Source organism: Homo sapiens, chromosome 3, assembly GCF_000001405.40.
Source record: "Homo sapiens chromosome 3, GRCh38.p14 Primary Assembly".
Classification (NCBI taxonomy): Eukaryota; Metazoa; Chordata; class Mammalia; order Primates; family Hominidae; genus Homo; species Homo sapiens.
Genome location: NC_000003.12, coordinates 32,872,455 through 32,898,396, shown reverse-complemented (window position 1 = coordinate 32,898,396; position 25,942 = coordinate 32,872,455). Strand labels below are relative to the sequence as shown.

Genomic DNA, 25,942 nt, shown 5'->3' with positions numbered 1-25,942 from the left:
AAGAAAATAGGTGAGCAAAGTTGGGAAAATGAAGTCCAGTGAAAAATGAAATCCCAAATAAAGTTCTGAACACATTAAGCTCACGATTAACAGTCTTTATCCACCCAGCATCTACGGTATCCCCCCACTGAGGGAGAAGCCAGTTGGATGAGTTGCTCACATCTCCTGGGGCCACAGTTTAGACCCCAAATGGTTCCCAGGTACCTCTACTCAGACAGAGGTGATAAGGCCAAGACCTTCCAGAGAAAGGGGGACAGGGTGGTGGCAGCTGGGAAGTCACATATTTGCCTCTAGAGGGACATCTGCTACTCAGCTCCTTGGGAGAAGATACATACAAGGCTTCCAGGTCTGAAATTTCGTGACAATCCATAACTTTTAGGCTCTTTAACATTTACTCTATTTAAAAATGCTCCCATCACCTTTTTCTTTTTGAAGGCACCGCATGGGCCCAATCTGGCCCACCAGTCACAGTACAGCTCCTGGACTGTCTACCTCAGGGACTCCCTTTCCATCCAGTACAGTGCACATACCCTTATTTACTATGGATTAAAGGATCACACAGACACACTGTAGCCATGGAAAAACCCTCGTTTATTTGATTAAACAAAAATAAAATAAGCTGCATAGGAACAATTTTAAAGTCCAAAGAGACACCAACTTTGTTTTAAGGCTGTAGTAGCTGATACAGCATCTCCTTGCTACCTCCTCCAGCCTTCTCTGTGGACCACAGTGATACATTCAGAAGCCTGTTAGCTAACACAGGAGTTTTTGAACACTTTTCCATTGGTTCTTCACCTGCTCATTGCCTGTCATGCCTGCGGCCTGCAATAGTAACATTTAAGATTTAAAATGTGAAAGCCAAAAGAGGAGGGGGGAAAAAAACCCAAAATCAACCAAACAAAAACTCACTTTTGCCTAAAGGTTTGGGGGGAAATCTTCATTTCCCCACCCATCTACTGCATTGATGGGATTCACATTACCACGGCAGTGCCCATTTAAAAGTGGCAAATGGCAGTCAGCACCCCACCCCGGACAGGCTTGCAGTGTGGTTTCTGCGGCCAGGGGAGTTACTACGGTAGTGCATATTCCTTATATCATGTCTGCCTTGGACAAATACAAATTAAGAGGTTTAACTTAGTCATTCTAACATAAGGCAACTTGCCCACATTAATTCCCCCAATTGTTTATTTAAAAAAAAAAAAGACAAAAAGACTCAACCGAGTCACATGTTCTGCAGTTAAAAATTAAAGCATTTTGCTGACCCGGCATGAGAGCTAATGGACAGTATTAAGCAAGATTCAGTTTAACAACCCTCCCACCCACCCAAGTATAACTAACATGCTAGTTAAAAAACAACACCCCTTACCCACCCACCCTTACCTGCATCGATTTTAGGAGAAAAGGGAAAAAAAGAAAGGAATCTTACCACCCTAAAAGCAAGAAAACCCCAGAAATGTGAAAAATCTTCCTCTGAAGAAAGACAACTACACAGACTGCTAGAAACACAAAGAACTTACAGAGTTACAGAGCTGGTTATTTAAAGAAAGTAAACACTTTGCTACACACATCAACATTCAGTCAGTGTGCTCTGAGATAGAGTCTTAAGAAAAATACTACCTGAGCTTGTAAGTTAATACAATCATTAAAAGGAGGTCTAAGACCATGTGGATACACAAAACTTTTAGAACCATTATTGGTTAAATGATGATGGAAAATATCCCACCAGGCTGGCTTGTTAACCCGTAAGATCAGTTTTAAAAATAGACATCATTGAGGTATTTCTTCACCATGACATTTATAAGCCCCTCATGATAATGACAGTGGTCTTAGGACCCTCCTCTCTTCCAAACAACCAAAAATTAGGGCAGAAGAGAGGTGGGAGGGTCAATACAGTATATCCTGGTAATGTGCTTCTCAACTTTATCAAGTATTTAATAAACAAGGAAAAAAAAAACCCGTCAACATGTTACCTTTGGTAGAAAAAAATAAAAACAAAACAAAAGAGCAATACACACTTCAACAGTCACTGCTCAGTCAAAACAGTGATTGTTGCAACATCATGGTGATGAACGTCCTGCCGGGTCCAGAGAGCTACAAATACAATCATGAAGTCAAGAGGATTCTCATTCCCTTCAAATATTTGATGTTTCCAAGATCTAGACCTTTAGAATTGCTCCTAAAGGGTATTATTTGCAGACATTCGAAATACAGATAAAATATTTTTCTCTTGAAGAGAAAGAGACCTAAAGGTCTTTATTTGTAGTTAAGTCCTCCAATAGGTCAGATTAACCAGTAGTTTCATAATACTGAACAACAGTAATGGTATGCATAATTCTTTTTGAGGGGGAAAAGCCAGATTGCTAAGAACTACTTGGATTTATGACTACATTTGCCTGACATTTCTCTTTCAAGGTAAGTAGAACATTTCTCCTGGGAGAAATCAGTTGTAGATTTATGGTAACATTTCTTTTAGAGGTAGCTTCCCACTCCCACCCACTGCCCACTGGATTAATACTATTCTTTTTGAGACCTGTCAGATGCTAACATGAGGTAGATGACTTGCCACAAGTGAGGTAGAAACTCAGCAAAAGCAGTCAGTGTGGTCTGGAATGCTGCGTCCTGTGCCCTTGGCCCTATAGAAAACCAGAGAAAGCCGTAGAGCTCTGGAGGCCCTGGCCCTGTGACACCATCACCTGCAAGTACAAGAGTGTGACTTTTATACAGCCCCAGACTGTTGGAAACTCATTCAGAGTGATGTTTTAAATATACCTTAAACATACCCTAAATACTTTTTGGCACCACTGGATTAAAAAAATAAGATCAGAAAAACAAGCCTAAAACTTTGGCATATCTTTCACCACCTACCAGAACAGAGCAATCGTAGAATCTTCCAACGAGGAAGGTAACACATATATAAACAGTATTTTGCTGCTTCAAGCCTAAAAGACTTTCCTCCTCAAATAATTAAGCTTTGGCTTAACTAGAATAAATCAGACTGAGCCGATCTCAAGCTATCTCTTGCAACTCCATCACAAAGTGCCTCAGTTCTGGCAACATTTTTGGCCCAACACGTAATTTGGATTCGGTTTATGGTACCCTTTGTTATGTGTTTCCCAAATAAGTTAGACTTAAAAGGGCATTGAGGAGTTAGTGCACTTGGGGTACAACCCAGGTCACTGTGCTCTAGTCAACTTGAGTGCCACTTGCAGCCACAACAGGGCACATGTTCTGAGACAGCATTAGATCTTGGGACCAAAAATAACACTTTTGAAATGTTAAGTCAGTGTCAAGCAAAAGTAGTTTTTACCTATGGGTTAGATGTCCTTTAAACATCTCAATACTCAAACCTATATATCCAAACCCAATGGGCATCTCCACACATAAACTGAGCTTACATCATACCCCACCCAACCCTTGCCACCTGACCAGATCAGACCTCCATGGGGACTAGTAATTGTCATACTTACTCCCCAGAAACCTTTTTATTCTCCTACCTCATAATACCCAGGACCTTATTTTTTCCATCAGGATGACGACTCCCTTCTTTGACCCAACTCCTGGCTACCTGGCATTACCCGGGCAGGAGATTATGCATTTAAACACAGGTACTTTTCACAGTTTCACACTAGGGACTGCCAAATGTTGGCTTTTATCATCTTTCTTTGATTTAGAACATTTCACATCATACAATAAACACTCTCCAAAGTGCTTCGCACCAATCCCTATGGGTCAGGAGTCAACCACGGGCAGGAAAAACCGCCAATGTTTTAAAAACAAAAGCTTTCCAAATGTGACCATGTTTCTCAAATACCAGTCATGCACCATTTTGGGTACAGAAAGGTAAGGAGATAGATATACCACCACTGAGGACAAAGAGGTAGTATCTCTGACCTACACACCTATTTCAGGGGATAGTTCTAGTTGCTCTAAGCCTGCAAATTTACAAGTCTGTAAATTAAGACCTGATAATTTCAGCCATGGAGCGAAAATCTTGGCTTTTCGATCACATCCATAGTAAAATGTCAAATAAGGAGCTCTAGTTACTGTTATGCACCAAGAACATTTCTCATTCAGGTCCCAAAATTTTCCTACATCTGGGGAAATTAGAAAGAAAAGAGCAGAATGAAAATGATGATGAAAAGATTTTAATCAAGATCCATCTCCTCAATAAAATTTTTTTCAAGCATTTAAAACCAGTTGTCTTTGGTGTTTAAAGGGTGGCTTGTTGGGCAGCTGGGGAAAGGGAAGGAAGATCAGCACCAAGTTACTCCAAAATAGAAAACAGTAAAAATGTTTAATTATATTAACTCTTTACCAAAGAACTTAGAGCTTAACGGCCAAAAGGCAACTGAATAGGCATTGGGGAAGGATTCACTATTAAATTCTACAGTAAAAGGAGCTTCTAACAAACAACATTTCCTAACACCTTCCCACCCTGTAACAGCAGCTGGGAGCCAGCAGCAGTTTGAAGCTACTTTCCAACTTTTGAATCTTTTATTGCATGCAGTTCTCCTCTGTGAGATGAGGTTTTTTTTTTCCTTCCCATTTTGGTCACTCAGAAACCCTAGAATTAAAGCAATGGGAAGAGACAGAGTAGCTTGTAGTAGTAGTAAATTAAACGTCCAAAAGAGGTGTACGGGAAAAGCAACTTGATTGACTTGTCACACTGTCCCCATCATCTCCTTTTCTATTGGGATAACAGAAACAAATTGCTCCATTTGTTAATCTGTTCTGCTCATTTAAAACGATACCCATTTTGCAATAGAAATTTCTCTTAAACAGAGGAACAGAAGTTGATCCATAAGTCTTTAAACAAGAGGTCTCCCTTGTAAGTCACTGACGTTTGTTTGAGAGTCCCTCTTTTCCCTGAGGAGGGCTCCTCCAGAATTTGGTTCTTATTTCAGTATTTGGGGCATTGCAGGAACCCACTGGGTTCTGACAAGCAGGGTATCAGCTACATCTGCTTTGCACTTGAAAGACAGACAATGCCCAGAAGCACAAGTTTTGTACCCAAGTCCAGCTTACAACCAACCAATCCTGTAAAGTGACACAGATTCTACCCCACAGTTCTGCAGTGGGAGCCTTAAATTTTCATTCTTTGGTACCGAGTTACAGGTTTAAGAAAAGACATTACATCCTACATTTCAGGTTGGGACAATTTGGTTTCTAGATCCTTTATGGTCAAAGGCCTTGGGGGGAGAGGGGGCGGGGGGATTCATGTTAACCATGAGGTCCTAAAGCATGGCCTGGGTGCAAACAATCCTATAAAAAGTGACCCAAGCAGAGGGTGTGGGACTGGGCTGTTGGTATTAATTTGACTTTCAAACCTTCTATTTCCCTGAACTTTCAAAGCAGGAAAAAATTGTGCTTGTAAAATAAAAGTTCTTTCCTTTGCCTACTCTTCTTAGGAAAAGAAACCCCTAGCACTACAGAACAACATGCACTCGCGGGTCAGGGCAGACCCTGCCCTTTCTGTGGAGTTCCTATAGTTTGGGGGTGCCTTGTTCTTTAATGTGCTCCCTGACTCCCTCAGCACACGCATGTCCACCCACATTCATGTCCACGTCAGCCCATGCCTGAAAACCCTCTCTCTGAGAACGAGGTTAATTTCCTTTTTCCTTCCATTTAACCCTTTATAACCTAACAGCAAAATAAGAAAGCATAACTTTTGAGAATATGTTTAATCAAAAATCCTGAGCTACCATCTATATACTTTTTTAAGAAACCAAAGTGTGAAAAGGAGAGGTTCTTTGGGAGGCAGTGTGTCATTTTCAGCTTTACTACTTGGGTGCAAGATGGCTTTGAAACAAACATGCACACACCCTCCCTTAAAAGAAACAAAGATTATATACCCTAAAATATGAAGGGTCTGCTTTTCTTGGCTAGCAAGCCACAGCCACAACGTCTAAGATCAAGAAACGATGCAGAAGAGGATGTTAAACACACTGAGGTATAAACAGAGAACAGAGGAAATTTCTCTGTTGCAGCATTTAAAAAGAGAAGATTTTCCAAAAAGATCAAAACAACACAACATAATCTAAACCCCATATAAACAGTATTCTCAAGAACACAGGTATTCTATAATTATGCATTTCAAATCCTATTTTTTCCATGTTTTATAGTTTTTTGTTTTTTTACTTAGTAGTTTTTTTTTGTGTTTCCTTGGCTCAATCTACAGAATACACCCCACCACACACATCCAGTGCCCTCCCAGCCATACAGATGCCAGGCTTGTGCATATCATGCCCCACGCAGGGGAAGAGGGAAATGCAAACTCCACTGAGGAGGGGAAGAGGGCCTGTTGCAGAAGGAAATGTAAAGATTTATGAGGTAGATAGAAATTATCACTTCACAGGCTCAATCCCTGCAGAAAAGATAAGTACATTCATCTGTAAAAAAATAAAGATGAGGTAGGACTTAAGCAATGTTGTACTTTTCTTGTTCTCTTTAAAAAAAAAAAAGAAAAAAGAAATTTCCCTGAGACTGTTTCTTCTTTGAAATTCAAAAAGAGAGAGAAAGAGAAAGAGAGAGAGAGAGAGAGAGACACGCACACACACCCCAAACACAGAAACCTAGGAAATGCAATTAGAAGACGAGGATTCGATTGTTGCCAAAGTCCACCACAACGATCATTCCGTCGGGGGTGATGGCGATGCCGGAAGGGCGGTCCATCTGCCCAAAGCCGCTGCCTTGAGCACCAAACTTGCACAGGAAGCTGCCGTTGGATTCAAACATCTGTACCCGATGGTTCCTGGAATCCGCCACAATGATGCGCCCTTCCTGGTCCACAGCTACCCCTTGTGGGCGCAGGAACTGCCCATTGCCTGTGCCCTCCGAGCCCAGAAAGCGTGCCGACTGGCAGTCGGGGTGAATAACCAGGAGCCGGTGGTTGTTGAAGTCAGTGACCACCAAGTGGCCCTCATGGTTGAAGGCCACACCCCGTGGGGAGTCAAAGTGCTTCCAGAGAGCCCCCTCGAAGCCATACTTGTTTAGGAAGACACCATCAGGCCCAAACAGCTGGATCCGGTGGTTCCTCGTGTCTGAGACCAGGATCTTGCCCTCAGAATTCACCGCCACATCCCAAGGGTAGTTGAACTGCCCATTCTTGGTTCCTTTCTCACCAAACTTGAGGAGGAACTGGCCCTCGAACGTGAAGATCTGGATGCGATGATTGTCCTTGTCAGCCACCACGATCCTGCGTGAGGCGTCACAGGCCACGCCGGCTGGTCGGTCGAACTGCCCAGGCCGGGAGCCCAGGGTGCCGAATTTGTGGTGGAAGGCGCCGCAGGGCTTGAACACCTGGATGCGGTTGTTGCTGCGGTCGGCGACAATGATGTAGCCCTCCTTGTCTACACTCACACCCCAAGGGCGGCAGAGCTTGCCATCGCTGTCACCCTCACTGCCGAAGCTCAGGCCCGGGAGCCCAATGCCCACGTAGCTGCGGCCTGACTTGACCACCACCTTGAAAGGGCTGTTCTCAATGTGCTGGTTGCACAGTGTCACAGATACCAGGTGCTCACCCTCCAGCTGGGGTCGGTAACTCACCACGTATGTCCCATTCTGCTGATCACTCACCTCTGCACCAAACAGGTTGCCATCAGGGCCCAGGACCACAGCCGACATCAGGTCGCCTCCTGAGAGGCGGGGCTCACCATCGTGGTCATAACCAATGACTGTGAAGGAGGCCACCTTACCCTGGAGGGCACGCTTGAGGCCATCGCCTGTGGCCTTGGTGAGTGGGGCAAAGGCCCCGCTGCTAACAAAGCCAAAAGACTTGATGGCAAGGTACAGTGCCTGATCGGGGGGTGTGAACATGACTCGGTCGTCTTCCTGGGGCTGCAGGAGGCTCCGCACGGTCTTCAGCTCCTGCACCTGGGCCAGCATCCGGTCTCGGGCCAGTAGGATGTCTAGCGCTCTACCCTCCTCCAGGACCTGCTGCACGGCACTGATGGTGCTCTCAAGCTTGTTGAGGTTTTGCCGCAGCTTCTCCACCTGCAGGTACAGAGACTTGGCTTTCACCTGGCGGATCTTTTCTACCTGGAGGGAAAAGCAAGAGTGGAGAAAGACACAGAGGCTTAGAGCCAAGCACAGAAAATACCACATAAGCCACAACTAATCACAAGGAAGCATCAGACAAACACATATTGTGGGATGGTCTACAAAAGACATCTGTCTTTCTTCAAAAGCAGCAAAATCAAAATGGACCAAAAAACCTGAAGAACTGTTCTGGGTTACAGAGGATAGTTACTAGAAACAGGACAACTATATGTAATTAGTGACTCTGGACTGGAGGGAGTGGCTAGCTATGAAAAGCACTGTTGGGACAATTGTTGAACCTTGATTATGGACTGAGGAGTAGATGCTAGTACTGTATCAAAATCAAATTTCCTGATTTCTGTAATTGTAATGTGATTAGGGGTAAAGGCATTGTGTTTCCAATATGCCAACTCACTCTCAGATCACAAACATATATACACATACATACATACATACATACACACACACACACATACACGCACGCCTCATGCCTCTAATCCCAGCACTTTGGGAGGATGAAGCAGGCAGATCACCTGAGGTCAGGAGTTTGAGACCAGTCTGGCCAACATGGCAAAACCCTGTCTCTACTAAAAATAACAAAAATTAACCAAGTGTGGTAACAGGTGCCTGTAATCCCAGCTATTTGGGAAGCTGATGTGGGGAGAATCGCTTGAACCCGAGAGGCGGAGGTTGCAGTGAGTAGAGATCACACCATTGCACTCCAACCTAGGGAACAGGGCGAGACTCCGTCTCAAAATAATAATAATAATAATAATAATAATAATAATAATAATAATAATTGGGACAAAACGTACATAATCAGTAAATCTGGAGAAGGAATATATGGAGTTACTATTACTGCAACTTTTCTGTAAGCTATAAATTAAAAAAAATAAAAGTTAAAAACAGCCATCTAGAGCTGGGCACAGTGCTGTGCACCTGTAATCCCAGCTACTCGGGAAGCTGAGGTGGAAGAATCACTTGAGCCTAGGAGGCTGAGTCTGTAGTGTGCCATGACTGTGTCTGTGAATAACCACTGCACTCCAGCCTGGGTAATACAGCAAGATCCCACCTTAAAAAAATAGCAAGATCCCACCACCAAAACCAAAAACAGCCATTTGACAAAGGAGTGTACTGAGCACCTACACTTTGCCAGGCATTGGAGGTACTGCAGTAACCCACAGAAAATATAAAATATGGTCCTTGCTCACACAGAGTTGTAGTTTAGAAAAGCAGTATTCAAAAGCAAACGAAGAAATAAGGATCATGTCAGATAGTGATAGGTGTTAAAAAGTAGAAAAAGGATGTGAAAGACAGTGTCTAGGGGCCCTGATACAGACAAAGAGCACTGAGGGACAGTGCCTTTCACAAGTTCAGACCTACAGGTTGAGACTAGGCAAAAGGCCATAGGGAGAGCTATCTCAGCAAAGGAAACAGCAAAGGTCCTGCTGTGGGCACAGGCTCAGCATTTCACAACCACAGCTTTCAGTAGGGGAGTGACATGACAGATTCATATTCTTAAAGAATTAGTTTGGGGCCCAGCACAGTGGCTCATGCTTTGGGAGGCCAAGATGGGTGGACCACCTGAGGTCAGGAGTTCAAAACCAGTCTGGCCAACATAGTGAGACCTTCTCTGTACTAAAAATACAAAACTAGCCGAGCGTGGTGGCAGGTGGCTGTAATCCCAGCTACTTGGGAGGCTGAGGCAGGAGAATCGCTTGAACCCAGGAGACGGAGGTTGCAGTGAGCCGAGATCGTGCCACTGCAGTCCAGCCTGGGCAATAAGAGCGAAACTCCGTCTCAAAACAACAACAACAACAACAACAAACCGCAAAAGGATTAGCTTGGGAAATGTGTATTAAAGGAGACCACCACCACAGGGCACCTTTTTTTTTTTTTTTTTTTTTTTTTTTTTTTTTTTTTTTGGTAGAGATGGGGTCTTAATGTTGCCACGGGTGGCCTCAAAATCCTGGACTCAAGCAATCTTCCCACCTCAGCCTCCCAAAGTGTTGGCATTACAGGCGTGAGTCACTGTGCTTGGGCCAGTTTCTCTTTACTTCTGTATTTTAAGAATGGTTTTAAAAACCCAACTGGGAACCTGAGAAGCCCTGTACCCCAAATTTTAACATAGCACGCTTTTGGCATGTCTGTATTATTTCCAAAAGAGCCCTTTAAATCTAAAATGCTATAATATATATGGACATGGATTCTAACCTGCCAAAATAATTCCTGCTTGAGGTTCTCAAACCATGCTATTTAGAAATATGGAATTTTGTTTTACCAATGAAACATTAGTTTCTCTATTCTTTAAAAGTTCTCTAATTCTAAGCAATTTCCCCCTGTGAAGCGAATGAACTTATCCAAACAGTTTTCACAGAGGACCATGACTTGAGTTGTTCTACAGATCTGAAAGCCATAGAAGGCTATTTCAGAATAAGCGTCCACTGTTGAAAGAGCTGGATTTCAACCTGACTTTCCCTTTAGGGTGGGAGGGGTGATTATATGATTTCGACTCATTCCTGCTTTTTCATCTGTTCAGTGAACCAGGATACATGTGTATGGAGAGGCCCACGTGGGGACAGATTAAAGAATATTTGCCCATTAGGCCAAACCTCCACCTTTGGTTCTTACCCATGAACTATATATATGCAGCTAACCCCATGAGGTAGCCAAGTCCACTGGAAATACATAAGGCCCAAGAATGAAGAGAGGCATCTGGATATTTACAACAGGGTTATCTTAATCCTTGCACTTATATATCTTAAAGTAACCAGAGATGCAGGAAAACAAAACTTGTAACAAAGAGATGCCCAGACAGAGACAGGCAAAGTAAGAGGGATTTGCTGGGAAGGAACAGAAAAAAAAAAAAAAAAAAAAAGTCAGTAATTAGTCAAAGAGAGAGGGACCCCACAGGATTTGGAGCAAGGTTCTATAGCAAAAGTATCCAAAATAAGGAAGCTTATTTTGGAATGCTCTGAGGATGAATTTTTGGGCAAGCAGAAACTGCTTACTACAATGAAGAAGGGATGGACTCTTCTTTCAAATAGGCTTCTCCCAAGAGTAAAAACTTGCTATTTCTTCTGAAACAGAACTGCCTTTAGAGAGGACAGTGGGTCAGCCTCACAGGAGGGAGGGTAACTAAGGTGAAAGCGGCAGAAACCCCCACACACAAAGGCCTTTTTCATCAGGAAATCCAGAAGAGCGAGTTTGTGGCAGAGTTCACTACAAAGCTCTCAGGTTGCAAGAAATGGGCCCCTCAGTTATAATTAACATTCGTGGGTGGCATAACACTGGCAGACCCATGGGGACATCTGAGTGTCTGAAAATGATGTCATGCCCACAAAGGTGCTCAAAAAATATGCTGAATTAAAAATCTTGGACTAACACCTCCAAAGTCTCTTGTCAGAAAGCAATTGAGCCATATTCCTTAAGAGGTCAGAAGAGGCAGAAAGCATCCATCCAGTTGTGAAGTTAACTAAATGGAAAATGCAATGCAAAATCCAGGGACACCTTGCAGAACATTGTAGGGCCCAGTAGTTAGCAAAGTTCACTTGCAGAAACTGAGGTGCCATCCCCACCATCATCATATTGTTTGGAGATGGAAACAGGCACACTCCACAAGGATACCCTTATAAATCAGCTCTAGTCTTTTTCGTGTGTTCAGAGAATGTAATTATAGTTAAAGAATTGGCATGGAGTACTGGCCCTTTCATAGACCTAACTCTCCTCCTTTCTGAGTGGGGACATAAAATCAGAAAAGGAACAGTTGGAATGCTGGCTTGGGTGGGGCAAGTAGTCTTTCTAGCTGATTTTTATCTAAACAGCACACTAGTGTGCTCGGCACTCTTTCCTGCTCCAACAGGAAGAAAGGACACACACTCACTGCCCTCCGAAGAGGAAAACTGGTTTTCCACAAGAGGTCAGGAAGTGCAACCAGCCAGGTCACCAAAAATAGGGATGTTTCCTACCAGCCTGCCTTTCTTAACAACAGTTTCGACTATGCTCCCTTCTTTAGCCTCCTTTTGAGTGAATGCAATATAAAACTGGAGACCGCTTCCAGTCTTGGTTACCCACGTACTTCTGAAAAGGCTTCTTGTTGTTTTACTGCAGACAGCACCCACAATGTTCCAGGGACCCCCTGCATCTTTCTGCTAACAGGCTTTCTGGAAAATTACGAAGTGTTTTAAACTTAGAGCTTGGCTCCTGGATCTGTAAAGAGTCCCGTAGAGTGCTGCTGAGGTTCATGGAAGCCGAGTGGGCACAGCCTGGGTGGGGGAGCTCTCCCTGTTACCTTCCACAGCAGCTCACACTCGCGTTCCTCCAGGGCTTTCTTATGCCTCGCCGTCACGGCTTTGACCTCCGACTGCACAACCTTCGCCTTCATCTCCACCTGTTCCGCCACCGTCTGGGCCTGCTCGATGCTCAGCTGGAAAACCAAAAAGAAACAACTTCGAGGCATTAGAAGGACTGTCATTCCTTATACAAAACATTTGAATCTGCTCTGTCAGACTTGAAAAGCTGACACCCTGGGTTCCCAGACCACTTGATTCACTCCCTTGGAAGGAAAACAGGCACTTAGGGAGAGACTGGCATCTGTTTGACATGTAACTAAAGGAGTTGCTGGCAAGAGCTGGATTTCTTTGCATGAGAAATAGCACCTACACAGTGAATGTCAGAACTATTAAGAGATACTCTGACACAGCAAAACCAGTGTAGCTGGGTGACAGATGAAAACTGGGAATGAGGATCAGATGTAAAATGTACAACTCCAGCCACACAAGCAACTTCCCCAGACTTCCTGGCCTCACCCTCTGCCTAGGCGAAACCCCGCAGGCCAGGAACATCCCTTACGTGAGGGTGTGCGACAGGGTAGTGGCTAATCCATCCTGCTTTTGTCAAGGCACTGGCAACACAGCTCACCCCAGCCAGAACGAACACCAAGTGCACACTGGGAATATCCCCCGATCTACCTAAGGAGCTGTGCCCCGTGGTCAGAGACCATCTACACGTCATCACACACGCCACCCTGTACCAGCCGTAGTAAATCAGCCAGTTTAATCAGACGTATTATTGTTAATTAATCCAGACAGAAGGCATGGTGTTATCATTAATATTACATGGTTGAGATACCGAGCTATTAAATCAGGGATTCCAAAGTGATTGCTCTTGGTACAACAGGTTTCGGGTAGGTGATTCAATCAGGAGGGTGTCAGGGAAGCCCAAACTGGAGCCTGGTATGGGCTTAGGAATCAGAGTGACCAATCATCCAGTTTGCTCTGTACTGAGGGGTTTCTGGGATGTGGGACTTTCAATGCTAAAACTGGGACAGTCCGGGGCAAACCAGGCCAGTCATCCCTGGAGTCAGGTAACCCAGGTTCCAATCCTGGGTTAGTTTAGGGCCTCCTACTAGTTGTAAGGCCTTGGACAAGCTCCTGGTCCTCTCCAACCTTGGTAAAGGTAGATGTGAGGGAAATGCATGGGTAGAGCTGAGCTCAGCACCTGGCACAGAGTAAAACACTGTTATTAATAGTTCTCAGCTGATAAAACACCTGGGACAAAAGTTCAGCCATTGTGTCCCGTCAGGCCACTTAGCTCCTATCATAAAATTTACCATTAGTCACACTTAGTATGTTCAGTGTTGTATAATCACCACCACTATCTAGCTACAGAACATTTTCACCACCCAAAAAGCAAAGGCCATTACCATTAAGGAGTCATTTCCACTTCCCTCCTTCTACCCCATGGCGATCACTAATCTACTGTCTCTCTACAGATCTGTCTGTCCTGGGCATTTCTTTTTCTTTCTTTTTTTTTTTTTTCAAATAGAGATGGGGGAATCTTGTCACATTGCCTAGGCTGGTCTCGAACTCCTGGGCTCAAGTGATCTGCCCACCTAGGCCTCCAAAAGTGCTGGCATTATAGGCATGAGCCACTGCGCCTGGCCTGTTCTGGGTATTTCATATAGATGGCATCATCATACAATACACGATCTACCTTATTTTTATGAATATTCTTCCTGCCCAACAGTTTGACTTGCTCTGGATGACAGCTGACACATTCATGGCATGCAAGACACGCTCAAAGGTGCAGCCCCAAAAACACCCATGGAAGCCAGGCACAGAGGCTAATGCCTGTAATCCCAGCACTTTGGGAGGCCGAGGCAGGCAAATCACTTGGGCTCAGGAGTTTAAGACCAGCCTGGCCAACATGGTGAAACCTGGTCTTTATTTAAACAAAACAAAACAAAAAAGCACACCACCCGTGACTCCAGTGGTTAGGTGCCACACTGCATTCTCTGCCTAAGAGGATCCTGTGTGACCTAAGGATCCACTGAGCTGATTCACAGGGGAACTGGGTAGATCCAGAGGGCTCACAGGATATCCACAGCCTGGAATGCTTCACCCTAAATTTCCAAACCCAGTTCTGATGCCACTTCCCTTCTGAAGCTGGAAGGGAACAGCACATTTCTGTAATGTTTCTGCTCCACCTTTACAATCCTGTCTCAAGTACCATTACATATCAAAGCAGGAGCTAAGTACAAAGCCCATGATACTTAAGCCACCTGGGATTTAGCAGAACAATTAGCAGAACAATCTATAAATTTTATATTTGCACATCTCTAGCCATAACCATGTTTACCAAAGCACTAGGTAGCTGTGTTGGGTTAAATATTGTCCCTCCAAACATCAGGCTCAACTAAATGTGGGCCAGGATGTGACCTTGTGTGGAAATAGGGTCTTTGTAGATATAATTAGCTAAGATGAGGTTATAGTAGATTAAGTTGAATCTTAAATCCCAAAACTGATGTTCACAGAGGGTCATGTGCAGACACAGATACAGAGAACAAAGCCACGTGAAGACCAAAGCAGAAACGGAAACTGATGCAGGTACAAGCCAAGGATGCTGGCAACTGCCAAAAGCCAGGATGAGGAAAGCAATGAGTCTTCCTGAGGGCCTTCAGAGGGAGCATGGTCCCGACACCTTGATCTTGGCCTTCTGGCCTGCTGTTTTAAGTAATCCAGTTTATGGTAAATTGTTACAACAGACCCGATAAACTAATACAGAAGCCAATAAAGTGAAGCAGACAGATATTACATCCACATTACCTAAAAGTTAAAAAATCAGAATGGCCAAGCAAATGAGCATGCATATAAGCAGGTATCATAATAGCATTGATACATTTTTAGTATCTCACGCTGTCAGGATTCATCCAGGGAAAAAGAGAGAAAGCGAGAGAGAGCAAGAGAGCTCCCTAGACATTTAAACAGAATTTAGCATAGGGAAATGGTTAAACAGGTATGGGAGAACTGCTGGGGCAAAGAGCACACTGAGGCAGAGAGTACCTGCAGAAGCAGCTTCTTCTGCTTTGTCTGAGAGAACAAAGGAAAGAAAGCTGTGGTTACAAGAACCCAGAATAAGATGGTGAGGTTACATCCAGCTAATTCTGAGAGTGGCAAGATCTGAAATTGAAACCAACTTCTGCTGTCAGGGTGAAAAAGAATTGCTATTAAAAATTGGGGCCGGGTACGGTGGCTCACACCTGTAATCCCAGCACTCTGGGAGGCAGAGGCAGGAGGATAGCTTAAGCCCACGAGTTTGAGATCAGCCTGGCCAAGAGTGAGACCCCGTCTCTACAAAAAAATAAATTAGCCAGGCATGGTGGCGCTTGTGTATAGTCCCATCTACTTGGGAGGCTGAGCTGGAAGGATTGCTTGAGTCTTGGGAGATCGAAGCTGCAGCAAGCTGTGACTGCACCACCGCGCCCCCCAGCCTGGGTGACAGAGCAAGACTCTGTCTCAAAACAAATATATAATATGATAATAATATAAGTAATATGAATTGGAAGAAAAAGGGAAGAAGTCCTTTTCCCATACATGTAGTTTGAAGAGTCACAGCCCCAGTGTCACATGGCAAGAGTGTGACAGGGTTAGAGCCCAAAGAGTAGAACTTAGTAACCGGCACCCTCTATATTTTTAGATGTGTTGGTTATTAATTAGCACAACTGGTGTCCAAGCTAATATTTCACCAAGGCAACCAAACCTATGTCTGTAACATTTCTTAATCCTTCCTCAATAGAAAGCAGAGGTGGCAAACTGCTTTCTATTAATATTAATGTCATACTACTTGCCAAATTGATTTTTTTACATCTAACTTCTATCATATGTTAGAAGAAAAAAAAAGACCCAGCCTGGGCTACAAGAGCAAAACTCTGTCTCAAAAAATAAAAAAACAAAAACACCACTCCCTTTGCATAGGAATGGGTGTACTACCCTACTCACCTCTTCCCCTAGTCTCCTAGCCAGGCTTATCGCTTATCCCTCATGTCTGGAACTCACATTTTATGACAAAAATTGCTTCTTCCATTTTTCAAACAGGTTCAAAGGGGGATTCAAAGCTTTTGTTGCAATTTTAATAATCAGCAAGCATGCAAAGATATTCCTTGGGCTGAGAGTCACAAAAGCCCTACCCAATGCATAGTGGAAAAATAGGTCTTTCCCTTCCAAATTACGCACGACCCAGCCAAGCATGGCATTCCAAGATGTGCAGACCAGGACTTATTGAACTAGTTCCCAACCTCTAACAGCAGGGCATCTGAAGGACATACAGGGCAGATAGGTTGGGGGAAATGACAATGTAGAAAGGCTGGGTAAACTTCCAAAACAGATATATACATTTCACAGTAAGAAAAGAGAAATCACCCAACAAGCATGGTGCTTGAGAGAAAATTTAACCATCTTTGGGATGTTAACAGATCTAATTAAACATTTAAAAGTTGAGGGTCTACATTTGGACTGGCAAATCAGTGCACTTTCCAGCTGACTACTGAGTGGCAGTCAGTCAGCATGGTGGAGACTTGGGCCAAATCTGGCTCTCAAGGGAAAGAATATAGATATCGATCAGTGATGCCAACTGTGGAGAACAGTGGTATTTAAAGAGCCCAACGGTCAGAAGGTAAGAGAATGCAATCATCACCCATACACTTGTAGGCGACCATACTGGGTATGCGGAGCTACTGTGGTGCACTCTAAAATGTAATTTTTGGCCAGGCGCAGTGGCTCATGCCTGTAATCCCAACACTCTTGGGAGGCTGAGGCAGGTGGACTGCCTGAGGTCAGGAGTTGAGACTAGCCTGGCCAACATGGTGAAACCCCGTCTCTACTGAAGATACCAAAATTAGCCAGGTGTGGTGACGGGTACCTGTAATCCCAACTACTCAGGAGGCTGAGGCAGGAAAATCACTTGAACCCGGGAGGCAGAAGTTGCAGTGAGCCAAAATCGTGGCACTGAACTCCAGCCTGGGCAACAGAGTGAGACTCCACCTCAAAAAAATATATATATATACATATATAAAATTTTCATCACATCTTTCTCTGAATCTATAATTCATCTCTAAATTGTCCGTGGGTTTCTTCCTTTGTTAGTTGTATGTAAAATAAATGTACACCTTACAATTAATGGCATCTTAAATGTGATGAAATATAGTAATTGAAGAATCAAAACTTTCTTATGTAGAAACCAACTATTCCTGATCCTGTTTATCGCTATCCCCAGCAAATCAGTTTACCTTGTGGAATCCTCTAATAACATACATGACCAAAATGTCATATATTCAAGAAAAGCAGCAAAGTGAAAGTAACAGAATGTTCAAAAAAGCAATAAAAATGAGTGGTTGCCCCCTAAATGCCCTACAACAGTGATGAGGTGCTACATCTTCCATGCTGTTCTTGTTATGGCCAACTCTAGACACTCACCAGGGTAGATTCTCTTTATAGGACAATCCAGAATTAACTCAAGGATTTGTATCTGGAGCTCTTTCCAGAACCAAGACTCTCAGGACAAGTTGTGAGTCTCTTTAAAGTCATAAGTTAGGAACTCTGATTCACAGTTAACTGAACATCTGACATCTGCAATTTAATACCAGACATTCAATGGGGAAATATACTTTCAGTATACATATCCTCCTCATCTGGAAATGATTTATTAGATGGTTACAACAATCACACAAACTGATCTTAAAAATAAATGGATGAGGCTGGGTGCAGTGGCTCAAGCCTGTAATCCCAGCATTTTGGGAGGTGGAAGCGGATAGATCACTTGACACCATGAGTTTGAGAAGACCAGCCTGGGCAACATGGTGAAACCCCATCTCTACTAAAAACACAAAAATTAGCCAGGCGTGGTGGTACAGGCCGGTAATCCCAGCTCCTCACTTGAACCAGGGAGGCAGAGGTTGCAGTGAGCCAAGATCTGTCACTGCGTTCCAGCCTGGGCGACACAGCCAGACTGTCTCAAAAATAAAAATAATAAAAAATATAATCACAAACTATAGCCATACCTCATTTTATTGCACTTCATAGATAAAAAAGAAAATAAAAGAAAAACCCACATTTTCTTTTTTGAGACAGAGTCTTGCTCTGTCGCCCAGGCTGGAGTGCAGTGGTGTAATCTTGGCTCACTGCAACCTCAACCTCCAGGCCTCAAGCAATCCTCCCGAGTAGCTGGGACTACAGACACGCAACATGAGGTCTGGCTAACCTTCTTCATTTTTTGTAGAGACAAGATCTCACTATGTTGCTCAGGCTGGTATAGAATTCCTGAGCTCAAGTGATCCTCCCGCCTCAGCCTCCCAAAGTGCTGATGTTACAGTTTTGAGCTACAGTACTCAGCCAGTTTTTTTTTTTTTTTTAAGAAATTGAAGATTTGTGGCAATACTGCATCAACCAAATCTACTGGTGTCATTTTTCCAAAAGCCCATACTGTCTCTGTGTCACACTTTGATAATTTTTGCAGTATTTCAAACTTTTCATTATTATTTTATCTGGTGTGCTGATCTGTGACAAGTGATCTTTGGTGTTAATCAGGCCACTTAGTAACCCTACAATGGCCTCTAAGTGTTCAAGTGAAAGAAAAGGTCCTACAAATCTAAAATGATTAAGCTTAGTAAAGAAAGCAAGTAGAAAGCTACAGACAGGCTGAAAGCTAGGCCTCTTACACCAAACAGTCAAAGCTGTGATTGCAAAGTAAAGTTCTTGAAATAAATTAGAAGTTCACTCCAGTGAACACTCAAACAGCAATGAGGCAAAACAGACTTATTGCTGATATGAAGAAAGTTTAATGATCTGGAGAAAAGATCAAACCAGCCATAACATCTCCTTAAGCCAAAGTCTAATCCTGCCTGAGCAGGGACCTAACTCTTCAATGCTATGAAGGGTGAGAGATGAGGAAGCTGCAGAAGTTTGAAGCTAAGACAGGATGAGTGATACGGTTTAAGAAAACAAGTTATCTCCAAAACATATATGTGTAAGGTGACACAGCAAGTCTGATATAGAAGCTGCAGCAAGTTACCCAGAAGAACAAGCTAAGGTAATTGATGAAGACAGCTAAACAACAGACTTTCAAGACATCCTTTTATTAGAAGGAGACAGCCTGATATTGGAAAGACATAGTCTTATATTGGAAGAAGATGCCATGTAGGACTTTCATAGCTACAGAAGTCAATGCCTGGCTTCAAAGCTTCAATGGACGGGCTGACTCTCTTGGTAGGGACTAATGTAGCTGGTGACTAAGTTGAAGCCAACAGTCATTGTCCATCCTGACAACCCTAGGCCCCTTAAGCATTATGCTAAATCTACCGTGCCTGTGCTCTACAAATGGAAAAACAAAGCCTGGATGACAGCATGTCTGTTTGTAGCATGGTTTGCGGAATTTTTAAAATTTTTATTTATTTATTCATTTATTTTTTTGAGACAGGGTTTCGCTCTTGTTGCCCAGGCTGGAGTGCAATGGTGCAATCTCAGCTCACTGCAACCTCCGCCTCTTGGGTTCCAGCAATTCTCCTGCTTCAGCCTCCCAAGTAGCTGGGATTACAGGCATGTGCCACCATGACCGGCTAATTTTTTGTATTTAGTAGAGAAGGGGTTTCTGTTTCTCTGTGTTAGTCAGGCTGGTCTCAAACTCCTCATCCCAGGTGATCCACCCGCCTCGGGCTCCCAAAGTGCTGGGATTACAGGCTTGCGCCACCATGCCAGGCCGGTTTGCGGAATATTTTAAACCCACTGTTCAGACCTACCGCTCAGAAAAAAAGATTCCCTTCAAAATATTACTGCTGATTGACAATGCACCTGGTCACCCAGAAGACTCTGCTAGAGATGCACAAGGACACGAAAGTTGTTTTCATGTCTGGTAACACAACATCCATTCTACAGCCCGTGGATCAAGAAGTAGTTTCAACTTTCAAGTCTTATTATTTAACAAATAAACTTCGTAAGGCGATAGCTACTACAGATAGTGATTCCTCTGATGGATCTGGACAAACTCATTTGTAATCCTTTTGCAAAAAATTTACCATTCCAGGTGCCATTAAGAACATGTGTGGTACTCACTTTGGCAGCACATATACTAAAACTGGAGATACTATAAAAGAGCATTCGTGATTCATAGGTAGAGGTCAAAATATCAACATTAATAGGATGTTTGAAGAAGCTGATCCCAACCCTAATGGGTGAACTCAAGGTCACTGATTAGGGTTGGGATCAACTTCTTGTAGCAGAAAGAAGTAGTGGAGGAAGTCACTGCAGATGTGGTGAAAATACAAAGAGAACTAGAATTAGAACTGGAGCTTGAAGATGTGACTGAATTGTTGCCATCTCATGAGAAAATTTGAAGGGATGAAGACTTGTGTCACATTTTAAGAAATTGTCAGGCTGGGCAAGGTAGCTGATGCCTTTAATCTCAGCGCCTTGGGAGGCCAAGGTGAAAGATCGCATGAAGCCAGGAGTTTGAGTGAGATCAGCCTAGACAACAAAGCGAGCCCCATCTCTACAAAAAATACAAAAATTAGCTGGGTGTGGTGGAGCATACCTGTAGTCCTAGCTACGTGGGAGGCCAAAGAAAGGGGATGGATTGCCTAAAAGCCCAGGAGTTTGAGAGAGATCCTGTCTCTTAAAAAAAAAAATGGCCAGGCGCGGTGGCTCACACCTGATATCCCAACACTTTGAAAAGCCGAGGCAGGTGGATCATCTGAGGTCAAGAGTTCGAGACCAGCCTGACCAACATGGTGAAACCCCGTCTCTACTAAAAAGACAAAAATTAGTCGGGAGTGGTGGCAGGCTCCTGTAACCCCAGCTACTCGGGAGGCTGAGGCAGGAGAATCACTTGAAACTGGGAGGCAAAGGTTGCAGTAAGCCAAGATTGCACCATTGCACTCCAGCCTGGGCGATAGAGCAAGACTTAAGGATGCTAAACACACACAAGTTATGGTTAAACAAAAACTTTCTAGGAAATCACAATCTATGTAGTGTACCTGGCTGTGGCGTTATAGATTAACAGACCTAAAATGCCTCTACCCAAAATGCCCCATGATCTAGTATTCAGATTAATGTTGGGCACACACTTTCAACTAACATTTGAATCATACCTCTAGGATTTATGCCTAGGTTCTCACCACTTACACAGCTGACTATATTTATTTTCCCCACACTCTTTTCTCCCCACAGAATTTCCAGTGAATTTCCATTTCTCTGAGATTTCACCATGTTAACCACTCATGATTTGTTGGTGCTCTCCTTAATAAGCCTCCAGCAAATTGTTACAACTCATTTTTTCTCCCCCATGGTGGCTTTTCCCACTAAGCACAGAGAGCACCAGCATTCTCTCAATAATGCTCCAACTGTTTTCAATCTCTTAAGAGAGTAAGAGGTTAATAAAATCATATCACAATCTAGGAGTTCAGACCTAGACACCAGTGGCTCTTTTTGTTTGTCTGTTTGTTTGTTTGAGATGGAGTCTCATTCGGTCGTCCAGGCTGGAGTGCAGTGGCACGATCTCGGCTCACTGCAACCTCTGCCTCCTGCATTCAAGCAATTCTCCTCCCTCAGCCTCCTGAGTACCTGGCATTACAGGTGCCTGCCACCATGCCTGGCTAATTTTTATATTTTTAGTAGAGACGGGGTTTCACCATGTTGGCCAGGCTGGTCTCGAACTCCTGACCTCAGGTGATCTACCCACCTCGGCCTCCCAAAGTGCTGGGATTACAGGTTTGAGCAACCGTGCCCTGCTGACACCAGTGGTTAAGTTCCTCAGGCGATGCCACAGTGTCGAGGGCACCGGTGTCGAGGAGACACCAGCAGGGTAAGGCATTTATTTGTCAAGGTCCCAACTGTCGTGGCATAAAATGAAAGACACAAACCACTTCATCCGCAGGGACAGATGCACTGATATACAACAGAATGATGCACAGGTGAAGACACTGACAAAGGAGAAGAGCAACACAGAGACACTCAAGGCATTTTAAAGACAATGAGCAATACTGGCATAACAATAACAGGATTAGTCATTCAAGAAAGTCTCTCAAACTTCCAATTTTATGATCTGAACATCATAAAATCTGACTCATCAGAAAAGATTGTTTCAGTATCATGCATGGGAATGTGATAGCGGCTGAGAAACTTATTAAATCAAATCCTCCCTCTTCTGTTAAGAGGCATGATCTCAATTCTTTAGCACTTTCAAAACGGATTTTTTTTGAAACAGAGTCTTAACTGTTGCCCAGGCTGGAGTGCACTGGCATAATCTTGGCTCACTGCAACCTCCACCTTTGGGGCTCAAGTGACCCTTCCACCTCAGCCCCACAAGTAGCTGGGATTACAGGCGAGTGTCACACCACACCCGGCTAATTTTGGTACTTTTTGTAGGGTTTCCCCATGTTGCCCAGGCTGGTCTCAAACTCTTGAGCTCAAGTGATCCACCACCTCGGCCTCCCAACGTGCTAGGATTACACAGGCGTGAGCCACTGAACCTGGCCAGAATCTTACTTTTAAAACAATTCACTTATATAAATATTCTAGAATGGTTCCTATGTAATTTCTCCTAGAGGGTGAACAATTTTTCTTCTCCTAGAGGGTGAACAACTTTTCTTGACTTTCAAAGTATCCTATAACACAGGGAAAAGTCACAATTTTCTGATTTCCTAAAACCTTGTCACCTGGATCAGACAAGATTTAATAGAAATTCAGGCACACTATCACCTATGTGAGAGAACCCTGCCAATTATCAAAGTTACACATGCCCCTCCCTAGCTGTTGATAGGAATTCAACAGAAACAACAGTTTCAATTACAGGGGATTCACCATCCAGGAAAGGACTGAAGACACCGAACCTCACATAACATTCTGCTCACTAATTTCTCACATATAAATAAGTAAATCTGTATCACAAAGGTCTCTGTCTAAAAAGCATTAGGCCGGGCATGGTGGCTCACGCCTGTAATCCCAGCATTTTGGGAGGCCGAGGCAGGTGGATCACCTGAGGTCAGGAGTTCGAGACCAACCTGGCCAGCAAGGTGAAACCCCGTCTCTACTAAAAATAGAAAAATTAGCTGGGAATGGCAGCGGGCGCCTGTAACCCCAGCTACTTGGGAGGCTGAGGCAGCAGAATCACTTGAACCTGAGAGGCGGAGGTTGCACTGAGCTGATATCCCACCACTACACTCCAGCCTGGGTGACAGAGTGAGACTCTTGTCTCAAAAACACAAATAAATAAAAGGCATTGGCTGGGCTCAGTAGCTCCCAGTACTTTGGGAGGCTGAGGCAGGTGTATCACCTGAGCTCAGGAGTTCAAAACCAGCCTGGCCAATGTGGTGAAACCCAATCTCTACTAAAAATACAAAAAATTAGCCGGGCGTGGTGGTGGGCGCCTGTAGTCCCAGCTACTCGGGAGGCTGAGGCAGGAGAATGGCGTGAACCTGGGAGGCGGAGCTTGCAGTGAGCCGAGATCGTGCCACTGCACTCCAGCCTGGGCAACAGAGTGAGACTCCGTCTCAAAAAAAAAAATTAGCCAGGTGCAGTGGTGCACGCCTGTAATCCTAGCTACTTGAGAGGCTGAGGGAGGAGAATCACTTGAATCCGGGAGGTGGAGGTTGTGGTTAGCCGAGATCACACAACTGCACTCCAGCCTGGGTGACAGGGCAAGACTCATCTCAAAAAATATGTTGTAGTAGTAGTAGTAGTAGTAGTAGTAGTAGTAGTAGTAGTAGTAATAAGCATTAAGCACCCAGCCTTTCTGCAGTCCTGGCTGGAAAGTGCCAATGTCCACTTTGATTTCGGGAGGTGGCTGGGTGGGACACGTGCAGGTGGTATGTTGGGGCCCAGGCTAGGTGCTTAGAAATCTGACCAGTAACTTTGGCCACATCCCTGACATCTTCACGAGACTGCCAGAACCCCTAAAGGGACCGCTGCTGCAGGGATGTCACCTGAGCTCATTTGGGTCACTATTCCACCCCCCACACTGGAATCTGCCCAATTGTCTGTCCATGCCACCCGACAGAAAGGGGGGCTCGATTCACGTGGGAACTGCAGAAGGGCAGGGAAGGCTCACCTGGATTGCCTGTCGTCCCTGCTGGGCATCTGCCAGCAGCTGGATGGTGAGTGCCCGTGAGTCCTGCAGTGCCTCCTGGAGGTAGATGAAGCTGTGGCCCCCATGCCGGCCCATTGTGCACTCACGACAGATGGGTACAGAGCAAGTGTCACAGTACAGGTGCAGCACCTGGGGACAAGAGAGGGTACAGGCATAAATGGAGATGCAGGACGGGAGGAGGAGGGAAGACAGCAACTGGAGGGCCCTGGCTCTCACAACCGAACGACCAGCTTCCCCAATGAGCAAGCACACCCCAAAGGGAGAGGCAGCAGTGGCGTAACTGCAAACATAACTAAAAATATCTGCTTCCTTTTTTCTCCCACTCTCTCTGCCCCAAATTAAGGGGGAATGGAGGGGGGAACACAACTGAATGCCATATCCCACTCTAGTCTCATTCAGAACTGTAACAGAGACACTTCGAAGGCAGAAACCAAACAAAACAAACCTCCTGGCATGAGAGTTTGCCCTGAATCTTAGCTTCATTATCCAGAAAAGTTGTTAAGACTGTGTTACCTAGTCTGATATTAGTGGCCTGGATGTAAGAATGTACCAGAAAAGTTTCCTTTGCTGCTCTAGCCTAGATGTGTGAAGCAAGGTTAAGAGCCAGTAACAACCATCCTCACACCACAGGTAGTAATGCAAAGTGCAAAGCATGGTTCTCCCAGGCACTCAAGCAAGCTACAGGCTTAAGTTTCTGGAACGAAGGCAAAAAGCTAGTGGTAAGGTCAGCCAGCTCCTTGCCTTTCTTCTTCATGCCAAGTTATTCCAAGGAGTTGAACCTGGGAGGCAGCCAGTGCTGACAGAACTGCTTTATGTGATGTTCTACACTTCCCTGGGGCCCAGCACGCTGGGAGGGAGGGAGGGAGGGAGGGAGGGAGGGAGGAAGAGAGAGAAGGGCTGGCACAACCTTTACCTGCTAATAAACAAGGAGCTCTCAAGAGAGAAAACTCCTTGGCATAGAAACTGGGCCAGTCTCATTACTGTATCTCTCCACAGAGCAGGGCACTTAGCGCCACTCTGTAAATGTTTGCTGGATTGCTTTCAAGAGCAGAGCTTAAATTTGCCTCTGGTACACCTGGGCATGAGGGGAAGCTAGCTAACATGCAACAGGCAGGGAAGCAGTATACAAATACAACACCCACACTTCATCTCCAGGTGAGGACAGGAGTTGGGGAGTGCTCAAGGCCACAGTGTTAGCAAAGACACAGCAGGGAAGCCAGCATGAGCCTTCTACAGAGCTGGTTCCAACACAGGTATGACACCAGCTCTCTCATCACCAGTACAAAGCACCTTGCTAGGTATGGTGGAGATCCAGGATGTGAGATTCCAGGCGATTCTGCGCAGACTGAATAGAAGCTCATTCTGGTGAGAAGCAAGGCAGAGTGTTGTGGGAGACAGAGATGGGGAGAAGGCTTGGAAGTGGCCCAGAAGGTTTTCTTAGGCGGAGAGCTCCAAAAAGAGAGGGCTGGGGGCAAACAGAGGGAGACTGCTG

At 44.5% G+C, this 25,942-nt stretch overlaps 1 protein-coding gene across 1 annotated transcript in view, besides 1 other annotated feature; it reads right to left on the bottom strand.

Annotated features, from left to right (window-relative positions):
* Positions 1-572: 572 nt before the first annotated feature.
* TRIM71 (tripartite motif containing 71) overlaps positions 573-25,942 on the bottom strand; it is a 79,828-nt gene continuing 54,458 nt past the window's right edge. The window contains exons 2-4 of the mRNA NM_001039111.3: positions 24,412-24,579; positions 12,329-12,463; positions 573-8,037 (exon numbers count right to left, since the gene is read on the bottom strand). Coding sequence (NP_001034200.1) covers positions 6,586-8,037; positions 12,329-12,463; positions 24,412-24,579 — 1,755 coding nt within the window. The 3' untranslated portion in view covers positions 573-6,585. The remainder of the gene's footprint in view (positions 8,038-12,328; positions 12,464-24,411; positions 24,580-25,942) is intronic.
* Positions 24,893-25,696: an enhancer, noted in NCBI's record as "NANOG-H3K4me1 hESC enhancer chr3:32914193-32914996 (GRCh37/hg19 assembly coordinates)". NCBI's record gives its function as "activates a minimal SCP1, AML or CMV promoter by ChIP-STARR-seq in naive H9 embryonic stem cells {active_cell/tissue: H9 hESC(naive)}" and the evidence as "EXISTENCE:reporter gene assay evidence [ECO:0000049][PMID:30033119]".